The following is a 16,208-nucleotide window of genomic DNA, read 5'->3' on the forward strand; positions in this document are numbered from 1 at the left end:
GCCTTGGGTCCTGTTGCTTCTTTGAGTAGACTCTAAAATGTATCCAGTTCAGGGCAGAAGCTTCCATATCAGGACTTTGCTTATTGTTGTTTGTTTCTTTGCCCCATTCCCCACCCCACCCCTTTAAACCTGTTTATTTTTGCAAATGGAAAACATCAGCGAATCTAAGCTTAAAAGAAAAGAATAGGCAGTTATAAAAACATCTGCCATAACCAAGATTATTCTATTATCTCCTTCAATTTCCAGGTGCAAAAAGAAATAAACCTCAGCTTTTCTAAATTTCTGTTTCATGTCATTGCATTTTTCAAAAGAAACACAAAATATGGAAAGGCTACTACTTGGTTCTTATTAGGAAGAAAACAGAACAAAGCAGGGTTAAAAATAAAACCACAAAATCAAACTAGTAAGATCAAGAAAGAACTAAAGACAAGCAACAAAGTCTATAATTTCCAAAGAAGATTCACTCTGGAATATTTTTCTTCACTTCTCTTTAGAAAGTTGTCAAAGTTGGCCAGGTGCGGTGGCTCACACCTGTAATCCCAGTGCTTTGGGAGGCTGAGGCGGGTGGATCACCTGAGGTCAGGAGTTTGAGACCAGCCTGGCCAACATGGTGAAACCCTGTCTCTACTAAAAATACAAAAACTAGCCAGCGTGGTGGCGCGTGCCTGTAGTCCCAGCTACTCAGGAGGCAGAGGCAGGAGAATCACTTGAGCCTGGGAGGCAGAGGATGCAGTGAGCCAAGATCGCGCCACTGCACTCCAGCCTGGGAAACAGAGTGAGACTCCGTCTCAAAAAAAAAAAAAAAAAAAAAGAAAAAGAAAGTTGTCAAAGTTCAGAACAATAAATATAGCTTTTTTTAAACAACAGTTTTTCTTATTTACATACAATGACATGTTTTATGGAAAAGCAGAGAATAAAACATGGACAGGGAAAAAAATAGTTCCTAAAATGCTTCTTTTAAAATTTCAGTTACAGTTGAAACTTCATAAGGAGTACTCCTTCCCATTCTGGAATTTCACTTCATAGAAGCGGCTGTTTCTTCTAATTTGTATTACTATATCTCAAAATAACCCCTTCTCCTACCTTCCTACCTTCCTTCCCTCCTTCCTTCCCTCCTCTTGCCTCCCACTCTCCCTTCCTGTTTTGTTTAAGGGACAGGGTTTCCATCACCCCAGCTGGAGTACAGTGGCAAGATCATAGCTCACAGCAGCCTTGACCTCCTGGGCTGAAGCAATCCTCCTGCCTCAGCTTCCTAAGTAGCTGGGACTACAGGCACGAGCCACCATACCAAATTAATTTTTAAATTTTTTTTTAGAGATGAGATCTCACTACTTTGCCCAAGCTGGTCTTGAACTCCTGGGCTCAAGCAATCCTGCCTTGACCTCCCAAAGTGTTGGGATTACAGGCGTGAGCCATGGCACCCAGCTATTCTATTACTTGTGGGGGTTTTTGTTGTTGTTCTTAATATTGTCTTTTGACTTTTTCCTATGGAAAATCAAAATTTCTTACCTACCCACCCCCACCAAACAAGCAAACCATTTTACTTCCCCCCAATTATAGTTACAGCATAATGAATCAACTTTCTATGATTCATAATTACAACCATAAATCTGCACAGCTAAGCCACATAGGGCTCTATAAGTTTTCCCAGATATTTTATTTTGTTTGTTTTTTTTCTGTCTCTATCTTGAATTGATTCACACACTCTCCAAAGCAAACCTCCAACCTTCTGAGGGGTTGGGGAAAGGTAGCTGCCCAGCTCTGAAAGGGGAAGGAGGTAACCTGGAAGCCCAAAGCCTTTCAAGTAATTCTTTGAATGTCAGTGCCACTTTGCACTCCCTGTTTTAGAGGTTTCTGCTTCCTACAAATTCCTGTGGCTTTCTGGGGTTCTGCAGAGAGAAGTGGCTTTTTTGGCTGGCTCCCTACCCAAGGTCGTGGGTTTCCATCTTATTCGTGCTATTAAATCAGTTATCTCTCATTTGCTTTCCTGATCTTCCATCTCCGTTGACATCTTTTGTCTGTTGCCATTTCTTCTGCCATTCTTCTTGTTCTTTTTAATCCTTTAATATCCTTTTAGTGTGATTTATAGAGGGAACATAAATAAATGCATCTGTTCAATCCACCATGTTTAACCGGAAGCCTTTGTGCTGACTGTTTGTAAAGAATGACTGGGTATTTTTTAATATCATCACACCCATTTCTCTTTTGTCTATTCAAAGTTATCTGCAGGTAAGTCTGATTAACTAATTACAATGGATTTTTTTTTAAGTGGGGACAACACTTAGTCCTAAGCAAGACTGTAAAGCTGATGAGATTCACATCTAATGCTTTTAGCTTCCCCATTCTTTTGCCATTTTCCCCACTTGAAGGCACCCTTCTCCAATACCCATTATCTTCATGGTCCCTCCAGAAACTAGATGGGGTAGTGGGGTGTGGGGAACAAATGTGCCTGGGAACTTATTCATACTAGAATGTAAATGATTGACAGCATTATAGGTACTTCCCAGTATATAAAAACAATGCAACTCCTCAGCTGAAATTAAGATAAACTGGAATTTCCAAAGATGTGTTTTAGAAACTTTCTCTGGGAGTAGAAATGTATTGGGAGGAGTGAAGTAGAGGAAAATGAGCAAGAAGGGACAAAGAAAATGAAATGGCAATGAAAAACAGAGATGAGAGTTTGGCGGTAATGTCCAATTTCAAGAGATTTTTTTCCTTCCTATACATGCAAATCTTGAAAATGCCAGGGTAAAAACATTAAGAAAACAAAGTTCTATGGACTTCGGAAGTTATAACAAGATATATGGCACTGGGAAAATGTAAATATCTTAAAATTTCTTTTATGCCTGGTGAACAAAATTATAAAAACGTGTCCCAAATTCCATTTATGCTCCTAATATTAATTAGTGGCCTCACTTTTCTGATGAATGACATTAGTAGCCAGAACAATCAGATTTCAGATCAGAGAAGTTTTTTTGACTACTCCAGCAAGAATGTAAAGGGAAAGAAGCCATTATTTACCAGAAAAATAGCATCTTTTTTGACATGACAATCAAGGAACTCTAGTGGCTACTGGAAATGATGACTGGGCCTTTCTAGGTACATGATCTCTAAGGGGCTTTGGCCAGCACAAGCAGAGAATGAAGCTCTCTTCAGAAAAAAAAAGAAACACTTCTGCATCAGCCTTACTGAGCTTCTTAAAGTATGTTTAGATATACATGGGCAGGAATTCTAATTTGCTCATCCTTAAAACAAAGAGATTGGCTTAGGGTTGTTGTTCCCAGTGCAGGCGTGTTAAGCGACTTCCCTCTGTCATTCAATTTCCACCAGTCGACAGCATAGCAAGAAAATAAGGACCATGTAACAGCTGTCCATGAAGCCAACTTTTCTCAATTTAAACAATTGTCCTCTATTTTGAAATTGAGTCCCACCTTTTATGAAAGAGTGATGAAAATGGACAGCAGTTTTTCTTTACTTCCTCCTTCTCCTCTCCCTGCTGTTAAATCTTAATTAGCAAAATTTAAAACTTAAAGGATTTCCATTGGACACCAACATTTAAAAGATTTTAAAAATGCAAACACATGCTGATCAATGATAGCTAAAGCTTCTGCCAATATTGATGCAAATTAACTCAAAACAGTCCTCCAGTTTTTTTTACACCAGAGAATCTCAACATAGTTCTTTTAAACCTCAGTCTTTCTCTTACACTGTTAAACCTCTATGTTGGTCTATGTTTAAATTATGGAGAAAAACCATTTAAAATGCATCAAATACTCAATTGAAGGTCAACATTGGTAGTTCTAGGGTCCACCTAGATGCTTAATGATGGCAGACTAGTTTAGAGGAAAGCTACAGGAATTGTCTTTAAAATGAAATTACACAGTAACCACACTTTGCTTAAATTGTATGTTACAGATTAATGGTGATAGCAGTAATAGATCTCTAAAGACATTTTTATTCATTCTCTCTATTCGATTAAGAAAATGTCTATCACCCATAACAAAGAAGAAAAATAAGTATATGAAATCACTTTAATACGCAAGTGAATATAGTGATGCTTTCACTGGCTTTTTCATGTTGTTTTATGTGTGTGTGTCCCCCTCCCCTATCCCCTGTCTGGTATTGAAGCAAGTTCTCCCTGGCTAATGACATCAAGCTAATCTCAATAAGGGTTGGTAGATCTAGTGTCAGTGCTTGATAAGAACAGGCATTTTATAAGTCTTTAATCTTAAAGATCATGTTTACTCTAAAAGTACTAAATGAGGGCTCAGAGACTTGAGCCGCTCTTCGGGCTCTGTGATTCACCTTGGACAAAATAACTTCACCTCTTTGCGCCCTCAGTTTCCTGGTCTATAAATACAGAGAATAATATCTCAGTAGATCCTCAAGACACTCGTGAGGTAGATGTCAGGAAAATTCTTTGAAAAATGTGAAGCATAAAGTGTTTAAAAGGTATTTAAAATATTTAAAGGTATGCTCAGATTCAATAAATATCATTTCCTGACTTAGGACTTCCAGAATATATCCTTATTTGTGTACAGCATTCAATTCAAATGCCATAAATTACTATGAATTTTTATTCCTTCATGTACAACCACTAGCTTTTCCATTTACTCCCAGTTACTTATATCTCCACCAACCTAGTGACCTCCACCAACCCAGAAACCACAGACAAAAGTCTGTGCTTTATAAAAATGGCTCCATGAGGCAATTCTTTATGATGGTTAATGAAAGTCTATGTTGCTCTACAAATGCCACTAAAAGTTCTTATCTAACTTTTCTATGGAATTTCTTTTCCTAGTCCATTGCTCAGTTTACTGTAAGAAACCAAACGATTTCAAGATCCAGAAACCAAATAGAGAGAAGACAGTGATTCATCTGAAGGAATACTAGCAGCTACAAATCCATTAGCAGCTGGATTTAGGGACCTCCAGCAGTTGGTTTCCCAATATTTCAAGTATGAGAACTCCGTTTTAATGTTCAGATCCCTCCACAACTGAAAATTATATAATGACCAGAAAAGAAACTATAAAATTAGTAGTGCTTTTGAGTGAATTTGTATTTTTCTAATCATAACAACATCTGTATACGTTTCAGAGTTAGCACACAATGATTGGTAAGCACAGAGTTAGAGAAATTTCGCCAGCTTTTGACTCATAGGATGGCAACCACTGTCTTACAGCTAACTCTAGCCATGTTTTTTGCCTTCCGATAGAAAATAATGAATTTCCCTCTTAAAATGTGAGAGAATAATAAAAATTCAGAAATTGATGTAGCAAGTTTCTGCCTTACTGGTTGTCTTTTTAAATCTGGGAATTGACTAGTTTTTAATCTGAGTGATCTATTGTTAGAAGAAAAAAAAAATCTTTGCAAGTTGTTGAATCTTTTAAAAGTCCTAAGGGGAACGTGTTTACTGTCTGTGACAGTGGTTCTTAACAATGTCAGATTTAACAACTTTTTTATAATGAATATGCTGTAATGACTCCCTTTGATAGCCTATTTTATCTACCGAGTGAAATAAACCATCCTAAACAGCATGTATGGCTTCTCATGATTCTGTGGGTTGACTAGGCAGTTCTGCTTGACAAAGTAGAGGCAGTTGGGGCTCTGGGGCCCCTAAGAAGTCAAACTGGCCTCACTCACATAACTCAGCTGGCACTGGCTGCTGGCCTGGAGCTCAGCTGGGGATGCTGGCCTAGGACGACCCTTCTCTTACAGGTTAAACTCTCATGTGGCTTCTCGGGCTTCCTGGTAGCATGGCAGCAAGGTTCAAAGAAAGAGCATTCCTGGAAGCGAAGGTGGAAGCTGCAAGCCTCTTAAGGCCAAGCCCCAAACTTACACACCATTATTTCGCTGCATTCTATTGGCCAAAACAGGTCACAGGACCAGCCCAAATTCAAGGAAAGGGAAAACAGACCCCACCTCTTGATGGTGAAACGGCGAGGTTATATTCAATGTACCTGTGGGGCGGGCGCAGTGGCTCACGCCTGCAATCCCAGCACTTTGGGAGGCCGAGGAGTTCGAGATCAACCTGGGGCAATACCAAAAATTAGCCGGGCGTGCGCCTATAGTCCCAGCTTTTTGGGAGACTGAGGCGCGAGAATCGCTTCAGCCGGGAAGGCAGAAGTTGCAGTGAGCCAAGATCGCGCCACCGCACGCCCGGCTTCGTCTACAGAAAGAAAATAAATGTGGAATGGGAGATATTGCTATAGCCACCTTTGGAAACGTAATCCATCACATATTTGGGAATGAAATTCCTGGGTGATATAATCTAACTACATAAACAATGTTTTAGAAATGAAAATAGCATCTCAATAGTTTAACAGAGAACTAAAAGGAAAATAATTCATAACATGTATTTCAATATGTAAATGCTCAGATATGACTACACTACAAGATCCATTAAAATAGCCAGATCCTTGCATCGACTTAATGATTACATTTTGATTTAAGAAAAAATAAGTCATTCCATAAAAGAGATCTCCTGAAATGAACAGAGGTACAGGAGGACACTAGAACCATAACAAAAAATAGTGCTAGGATAAGTGATAATGCATCAGATTTATTTCAACATAATTATAAAAAATAATCAAGACAAATTAGAGAAGAAATACAATAACCTTAAAAATGATCTGGGCCTTATCTATGAAGAATAAAATAAAAACTCCCCACGTGACTACAGAAAACATTTCAATTATTTCAAAATTCTACATGTCAAAGCATATTTTTGGCCTCCAGTACTTAAAAAGACTTTGGAGATCACATCTTTCAGTGGCCAGAGAATATTGGATGGACTCTTTTAAAGAATAAAAGATTATAGAGAAGTTGCGATAGATGTCAGAGACAGACCAAGATTGAAAACAATAGGCAACACTCAGATACTATTTTAGAATGTGATTTTCACATAATTTCTTTTTATATGTATATATAAGGATTAGTTCACGTATTTGTTATTCAAATCCCGAAATCCCATAACCGCGAAGGATGTTAAGTGTATATGGATCCATGTCACTTCCTCTGGAGATTTTCTGAGCAGATGCCATTTGAAGTACAGGGAATGTAATAGTTGATCCTGGTATAATGTCAAGGGCTTCAAATCCAGAAAATGTGGAATTCCTTCTTTTGGCCCAGTAGTTTGCTGCTGTTGCTAGGTTTGGGAACATTTGTGGTGATAGCACCCCAATAACAGGGTGGCGAAGTACACCCCCAAATTCAAAGAAATCTCCAAGTACCTTTTTAGCCAGTGGTTTCTTCTGCTCAAAAACTGGAATCTCCAACACAACAGCGGGTAAAGCAGTGGAACCATCCACACACTGATCCAGGAACATTCTCACAGTGTAGTAGGTCATCATCTGTGCTTTGCTGGCAACTACTTTAACTTGATCAAGTAGCTCGCACGCAGGGGATTCAAATTCTCCAAATAGAAATGTGAACATTAATCCTCCAACCCATGGTCTTGAGTTGATCCAATCTATAGCTGGCCCTGCATTATAGCTAATTAATAAATCAGCACTTTCACTATGCAAAGGTCTTCCAATGGATATCATCATTGCCTTGAATTGTCTCTGTACTTGGAGGCTGTTGGTGCATATCGGGTCACTCGATCCGGCAGCAATGCCTATCAGATCACAGCAGTGACGCAGAATTGATGACATCTCAAGGGCAGTGAAGGTAGGCAAAACATCTTCAAATTTGCTAGCATAGAGAGTACCTGTTTCCTTGTTCTCATTCCCAATCACAATATTAGACCTTTTGCTCACACCGACACTGAGTAGTGCCTTGTGTAATCCATCGAATATAAAACACAAAAATACTAAGCTTGGGGTTACAAGGTAAAAATGAGATCTCTGTGCTGGGTCTAGCATAGACTTAGTTGCTTTTTCAATGACCTTAACATCTCCAATACCAGGTTGGGGCTCCAATGCATCTGCTGGATACTGTCTGCTCTTCCCAGAGAGCTCAAATCTCCCTTGAAAGTAATGGAAGCTGCTCCCATCCTTTGTACTGTCTTGTGGGCTGCTGGTCTGTGGGTTGTTTCTTGGGCGGGACATTGTGGGTGATTGTTTCTGTGATTTTCACACAATTTTGTACTGTACTAAAAAAATATAGAGAATGGCAATACAACAAAATATTTTTAAATTACATTTATTAATAAAATGTATTATGACTTCTGTATCTCATTTACTTCTTAGTAATATTCAGTTTTTTAGTCTAGTAAAGGAATTTCCAAATCTCCTTAATTACACAACATAATTTTGATTTTCATGCTTCTACACCTAAATGTGCAGCTGCACTAAAATCCTTTCCCCTGTCAACTGTGAACACCAGAGCTATGCCTATAGAGAGAAGAGTCAACCACTCATTTCGAGCACAAAATTTAAGGTTTCCTTAAATTTAAACTCAATCATCAAGATCAGTAATATTGTAATGTCATCTTTTAAAACATCGAAGTAATGCCAATAAAACCCCCTATAATGAACAAAACAAAACTTCTAACAAAGCCAGGATCCACAGAAAGAGTTAGTTGTCTGACAATTCTTACGCAATATCTTTATGTCGTTTAAGCTTTCCTCGACATAAGGAATTTTTCCCTAAATAAGGAGCCTTTTTGTGTAGCTTCTTTTAAAACTTTTCAGTATGCCTTCACACAGAAGGGCTGCTGACTTAGATCTGTATTAAAAGTACTACTGCCATATTTGTCTAGGATATTGCTCAGGGCATCTTTTGAAACTAGCAGGGCAGGAACATATTTCATTGTGCAGAACCAAATCAAGTTTTGGGGCCATCAGGCAAACCTGGTCCCCTCCTCTAAGTGTCAGTGATACCCTATATCAAATCATTGTGTCAACCCCAGAATGCCCTCAGGTTTCCAAACTCGCTGGCCAAGTGGGTGCTGCCCAGAGCAACTGGAGATAACACTGGAAAGGGAATGGAATCAAAGGAACACAGGTTGTACAGGTCTTTTGAAAACTGTCTTGGACATACATCTAAGGTTGATTTGAATTTTAATTAAGTCTCACTTAAAGGCTCTCTGGGGTTTTTAAAAATTAAAGAGCTTTTAAGATATAATATTGCATGCCCTGCTTTAAAACCTAGACAGTGATAAAAGCTTAAAGCTGACGCAATCACCATGCTAATCACAATATTCCATGCAAAAGTTCTCCAATGGAAGGGATATAACATTACATGGTCATTCATTCCTTTCTTTTCTCGTCTCTTAATGCAATGAAAGGTTATTATGTTTTGTCATGTTCTTAACTGTCTTGTTCCAAATATAGGCTTTTGATTTGGGTGGTAAGTTGTGCATCTCAATAAATATTTTTCTTTGCATTAATTCACAATAATCCATTTTTATTCCCCGAAAGTCCATTTGGAGGTAGAAAAAGGTGAGATTTATGAAAAGAAATGTTCAAAATCTCCACACACTTAAAAACATCCTAAAACTTCATGGATTTTTCTGTGGTTCCCAATTCTGAAAGCACATATAAATTATAGCATTTTTGTTATTTCCTTATGTTTACACAAAGACAAAATCTAATAGGTATTAAATCGTGTTAACAAAAAACAATTTTTTTTTTGAGACAGGGTCTCACTTTATCACCCAGGCTGGAGTGCAGTGGCGCAATCTCAACTCACAGCAGCCTCGACCTCCCTGTTCAAGTGATCCTCCTGCCCCAACCCACAAAGTAGCTGAGACTACAGGTACTTGCCAGTATGCCATCTAATTTTTGTTTGTTTTTTGTAGAGATAGAGTTTCGTCACTTTGCCCAGGATGGTCTCGAACTCCTGACCTCAAGTAATCTGGCCTCATCCCACGCTACCCCACGCTACCCCACCCCTCCGCCACAGCCTCCCCAAGTGCTGGGATTACAGGTGTGAGCCACTGCACCTGGCCTGAAAACAGTTTAAGGTGAGCATGTGAGCTTTTCCCTCCATCTGTTTGGCGTGCTAATTAAGTCACTTAAAGCTGCTTGTGTTTTACCATGTCCCTTCTTAATCCCATGTCTCAAACATTTAGTTAATCATGCAACTAAACTTAACTAGCAGTTATAATCACAATTATCTGAGCATTCTTTATTGTGAATAGGTATCTTCGGTTACTAAAACCAAAGGTCTTAACTAAAAACTTCCCCGTATTCTTGATTATTTGGATAATTAGGGGCTAGGGTTGGTGTTCTCAGTGCCATAAACCACAATGTACTGCATATCTCTAAAGCACTTGGTGGGATGCTGTGGGTACTATAGGATTTTGTGAGTTTTCCAAAATATGTATCAACTACAAAGATGACAGTTAATTTAATTAATAACTTGAACTGTCCATTTTTCTGTTGTCCTACAATCTCTATATTAGAATTCAAAAACATTAGAGTAAAACAGAAATGATAAATGATGTATCTTCTGAAATTTCTAAAATATGCAATTTTCAAATGGCCTATGAAAATTTGATCCCTTATCTTATAAAATGCCGTAGCAGTAGGATACATATACTAAATAACCTTTTCAATATTTTTTATTTGTTTTGTAAATAGAATAAGTCCCTAGTGAGACTCTTTAAACCTAGTTATTAACTTATGTTCAGGACTATTTCATTAGGAAGCTTTTCTTCTCATTTTGGCTATTTTTGATCCAAGAAACCAGGTCAAATACATAGTTTCTTGAATAATTTCTAGAATGAAAACTGTTGAGAAGTCTTTATACACATACTCTGAGTTTAGAGCATTAAAATTATAGTAAGGTTGGATGTGGTGTCTCGTGCCTGTAATCTTAAGTGCTTCAGGAAGCTAAGGTGGGAGGATCCCTTCAGTCCAGGAGTTCGAGACCAGCCTGGGCAATACAGCAGGACACCATCTCTTAAAAAAAAAAAAGTTGTGTTTTTTTTTTTAAATTAGCTGGGCATGGTGGCACGTACCTGCAGTCCTAGCTACTTTGGAGGCTGAGGTAGGAGGATTGCTTGACTCCAGGAGCTCAGAGGTGCAGTGAGCTATGATCATACCACTGCACTCCAGCCTGGCCAACAGAGTGAGATCCTGTCTCTAAAAGAAAAAAAAAAAAAGGTTGTATTAAAAACCCAGTCTATGATGTAAAGTGTGTTAGTCTATACATACAGGTCTGTAGCCTACACTCTGCATTATGGACAAAATTATGTTGCATCTGAAGCATGAAACGGTGAGTAGCAAATTCATCTAGCTATGGCCTCAGTAAATACACTCCTTTGTTTAGCTTATCAGTCATCACTAAAAACATTTATTAAAGACCTTCAGTATATGGATCTTTTTCTCAACAAGTTTAAGATGTAGAAAAATATTACAGAAGATGATATAAAGTTATTGCTAGTCACATATAGTTTGATTATTTGTATAGAAATTCAAAAATGGAAAAGTAGAAAACAGATTTTTTCGAAGTATTTTCTAAGTTTAGTTCATAGATTCTTTAATTCCTGTAGGAACACAAGATAATATATTACAAATATATAATAACAAGATCAACAAAGACATACCTGTGAAAAGAAGCCAACTGCCTAGAAAATAAAGGCAGCTCCAGAGCCCACTACTCACCCAGGCTCCTTCCAAGATTAGGTACCTAATTTTGTATTTGTAGTTTTGTATTCATTTTCTTGAAGAAAACCCCCAAAAATCATATAAGCTTTAGGCCCCTCAGAACCTGGATCTGCTCCAGTGGGGAGTAAACCATATGTGATTTGCATAAAATGAGTACAACACTTGGCTGAGCTTTTTCGAAAAACTATAACCAGGGAGATATACCAGGTTCCTGGATGACAAAATTTACTGCTATTAAAATGTCAAGTCTCTTGAAGTTTAATTGAGCATTTCATGCAAGCACAATGAATATTCCAACAGTATTTAGAAAACATAACAAAACTTTGGAAAAACCTGGAAAACATTTGGAAAAAAATGAGAGTCACTAAGAAATGTTTGAAAAAGATGATTAATTAAATATGAGGTGCTGGGTTGAAGGAAGTATGGCTGTTTTCCTGGGTACAAAACATATTCTAAACCTTCAATAATTTAAACAATGTGGTCCTGGTGCAGGAATAGGCATGCTGACCAAAACAGACATCAGAACATGTAAAAAAAAATTAATAATCAATAAAAGAGGCAATATCAAGACAAATTCAGCAGGGAAGAGAGGAAGTGTTAAGAAAAATGGTAATGGTACAACTGGTTAGATAATTGGAAGTAAAAATCCATTTTGCTGTTAGTCTTATACCATCCACCCAAATAACCTAAATAAAGGAATGAAATATTTTAAAAGATTAAATTATAGAAAAATTACAAGAAAATATACATTAATGTGATTCAAACTCCACAGAGGAATAGTTTTTTGATTTTTGATTTTTTGTTTTACTTTCTTTTTTTTTTTTTTTGAGACAAGGACTCACTCTGTCACCCAGGCTGCAGTGTAGTGACACCATCATGGTTCACCGCTGCTGCAACCTCCTGGGCTCAAGCAATCCTTCTTCCTCAGCCTCCTGAGTAGCTGGGACTACAGGCATGCATCACCTTGCCCAGCCAAGGAATGGTTTTTTAAAAAGCTTAGTAACAATGAAACAAGAGAAAATAAAATATTGACAGAACTGACAATGTAGAACTGAAAAATATTTGCACACAAAACTCATTACCTAAATTAAAGGCAAGCGATATATGGGGATTAAAATACTTTCTGCAAGTATACAAGGTTAACACTGACCTTATATAAAAACCTCATACAAATCTTTAAGAACAGCACCAAGACACCAATAGATTAACATGCATAAAAGGAGGTATGAACACTCTGGCAATTCCTCAAAATACTCAGCGTGGAGTTACCGTAGGACCCACCAACTGCACTCCTAGGTTTAGGCCCAAGACAAATGAAAATATGTGTCCACCCCAAAACCTGTACATAAATGTTCATAGAAGCATTATTTATAACAGTCAAAAAGTAGAAACAACTCCAATATCCATCAACTGATAAACTGATAAATAAAATGAGTTATATCTGTACAACAAAATGTTATTAGACAATCAAGAAGAAGGCACTATCTCAAGCTACAACATGGTTGCCTCTTGAAAACTTACGCTATGTGAAAGAATGCAGTCACAAAAGATCATATGTTGTGCGATTCCATTTACATAAAATATCCAGAATAAGTAGACATATAGAGACAGAAAGTAGAGATTAGTGTATGCCTAGGTCTGTAAAGGGGTTTGGGGGTAAATAAGGAGTGACTGATAATAGGTACATGATTCCTTGTTGGAGTGATGAAAATGTTGTAAAATTAATTGTGGTGATGGTTGCACAACCCTATGAATATACTCAAAAGTCACTCAACTGTTTGCTTTAAACGGGTGAATGGTATGGTGTGTGAGTTATATCAATACACAATGTGTAATATATTATCACAATACTATCTATATGATATCACTGTACATTATAAATAGCTTTATTATAAGATGCTTTTTAAAGTATGCCCAGCCAAATCACAGAAGAAAGCAAGTTAACAAACTTGAGGAAATTATCAGCATTGCTAATAACCAAAGAAATACAAATTAAAGCAATAAGGAGATAGTATTAATATTTTTCTCAAAATAACTAGAAAATAGTTTTGACAATTCTCACTGCTGCTAGAAGTATGGCAAAACAGACATTCTCATATACAGCCATTGAAAGTGCAAATTGACACCACCTTTTTTGAAGGCAGTTTAGCAACAGATATCAAGAACTTTAAATGTAGTAATACTCTGCCTCAGTGGTGTAGCTTATAAAAACACTACACAAGAAATTTTTCCTAAATATGAAAGAAAAAAATATTTATATACAAAGACCCTCATTTCAGCATTATGTATGACCATGAAGAAATGAAACATCTTAAATGTTTGGTGATAGTGGAATAGTTAAGTGTGCTGTGGTATATGTACTGGATGAAATATTACACAGCAGGGAAAAATATATTACATATTAATATGGGAAAATTATTACAAGATATCAAGAGAAAATGACAGTACAAAATTGTATGCATAATACTGTTAGAACTATGTTTAACTATTTTCTTCTTTTTTATATTTTCAAATTATCTTTAACAAACTACACTTAAATTTTTCATAACATCTAAGAAAAATTAAACAGTAACAACAATGTAAAGCACTATACGATGTGTGGTTTATACCATAATGAGTACCAGATATTCAGAGAAGAGTTTCAGACTCAGTGTTTCAATATTTTATCTGCAGGTGACTGTGCTTCTATGATTTTTTTTTTTACCCCAATAAAAGTCATTCGGTGAAACCCAATTTAGGGACACCTCATCTGGCATGTACAAACACATTGCAAAACAAAAACAAAAACAAAAACAAATTAGTGATAACATACCCCTCAATCCATATATGTGATGTATTTTTCCTTCACTCTTTATTCTACAACTATATTTACAGTAAACATTTAGTCTTCAAACTGTTTCAATCTAGATTTGTTAAATCTTTTAAAACTAAAGATAATATATAACCTACTTTGAATTATCACCAATAGACTCAAACAGGGCAACAACCTCTTTAAGGAAAACAAGCTACTTGCATCAAAATGAGAATACTTTCTACTCTTCTGGAAAAATATCTAGATGGCAACATTCTATGTACAATAGGTAATTTATTTGTGGTTTTATTTCAAAAACTTAGAATATTTGTTTGAAATATATAATTCTCATCATTGGTAGTTTGGCACATAAAACTCTTCTAAAAATATAGGTTAGACATATACAATGAAGACTGAGGAAGGACAGGATTTTAGTGAAAAGTTGCAATAATTTATAAATTGTGCTAATACAATTAAACGGAGTATAAATCTTCAGAAATTTTAACTTGATTTTCAAAACACTGGAAGTTTAATCAAGAATCACGAGTACTTCTTGCCCTATGTGCACTCCATCTCTGTTTTGCCAAAATCCACATAATCAAAATTTTTTATGATTTTCCTTAAGACTATTTTATCGAGATCAAAAACTAAGTAAGTACACTTGAGCTTCAAGTCTAAAACACAAAACTTGTGCGCTGCATCATTTTACCTTGACTCAGCCAATCAGAATCCAATGTTGCCTGGGAAACCCTCTCACGCTTATTACAATAACAATTCTGTTGCTTGATTTTTAAAGCAATAAATACATACTCAGAAATTATTTATATATATATGTATGTGTATATATATATTTTTTTGTTTTGAGACGGAGTCTCGCTCTGTTGTTCAGGCTGCAGTGCAGTGGTGCAATCTTGACTCACTGCAACCTTCGCCTCCTGGGTTCAAGTGATTCTCCTGCCTCAGCCTCCTGAGTATCTGAGATTATAGGTGCGTGCCACCACGCCCAGCTAATTTTTCTATTTTTAGTAGAGATAGGGTTTCACCAGTGCAAAAACTTATCATCCTGGTTTCTTTTCCCTGATCAGTATGAGAAGGCACAAAGGAATAAAGAGAACTGCTTCACTTTCATACTGTTCTCATATTCATTTCTTATGTGCCAAGAACTTTGGTAATATAAAGAAAGACAAAGAGGAAAAAACATATCCTCTGCTTTTTCTGTATATCCTGCACACCATACATTTCATTACACACCAATGTGTTTGTCAGATTCAACTGCATTGTTATTTTTTATCTTCCTTGGTATACGCAAGAAAAATGGAAACAAAACTTAATGGAAAACAGAAAACTGTAATAAATGACAAAAGCAGATACTACGTTGGCTACATTCTCTGACTACACCATGATATAACCATAAATTCGTAAAATTAACTTTGGAAAAAACAACCACTTGAAAAAGGTTAAATATTAAGTCTCTCCTAAATAACTTCTAAGTCAAAAAGCAAGCAACAAATACAGACTATTTAGAAAATAATGTAAAGAGGAGTAACTAGGTGTATTAGTCCGTTCTCACACTGCTGTAAATATACTACCCGAGACTGAGTAATTTATAAGGAAAGGAGGTTTAATTGACTCACAGTTCTGCATGGCTGGGAAGGCCTCAGGAAACTACAAGCATGGCTGAAGGAGGAGAAGCAAGCACCTTCCTCACAGGGCAGCAGGACCTAGAGAAAGAGCAAGGACGAGGGGAACTGCCAGATGCTTTTAAACCGTCAGATCTCGTGAGAACTCACTCACCATCACGAGAACTGCATGAGGGAAATCCACCCCCATGATCCAATCACCTCCTACCAGTCCCTGCC

General features: G+C 36.9%; 1 protein-coding gene across 2 annotated transcripts; it reads right to left on the reverse strand.

Moving 5' to 3' along the window:
- Positions 1 to 6,542: 6,542 nt before the first annotated feature.
- EBLN1 (endogenous Bornavirus like nucleoprotein 1) lies at positions 6,543 to 16,083 on the reverse strand. Of its 2 annotated transcripts, NM_001394757.1 has the most exons (3): positions 15,984 to 16,083; positions 10,910 to 11,033; positions 6,543 to 8,095 (listed from the first exon to the last, which is right to left on the reverse strand). In NM_001394757.1, the coding sequence occupies exon 3, from the start codon at positions 8,049 to 8,051 to the stop codon at positions 6,951 to 6,953; it is 1,101 nt and encodes a 366-aa protein (NP_001381686.1). In that variant the 5' UTR covers positions 8,052 to 8,095; positions 10,910 to 11,033; positions 15,984 to 16,083; the 3' UTR covers positions 6,543 to 6,950. The 2 variants fall into 2 exon arrangements, with proteins under 2 accessions (NP_001381686.1, NP_001186867.1); NM_001199938.2 differs by lacking the exons at positions 10,910 to 11,033; positions 15,984 to 16,083 and having other exon boundaries at positions 6,543 to 8,351.
- Positions 16,084 to 16,208: the final 125 nt, after the last annotated feature.

Source organism: Homo sapiens, chromosome 10, assembly GCF_000001405.40.
Source record: "Homo sapiens chromosome 10, GRCh38.p14 Primary Assembly".
Taxonomy (NCBI): domain Eukaryota; kingdom Metazoa; phylum Chordata; class Mammalia; order Primates; family Hominidae; genus Homo; species Homo sapiens.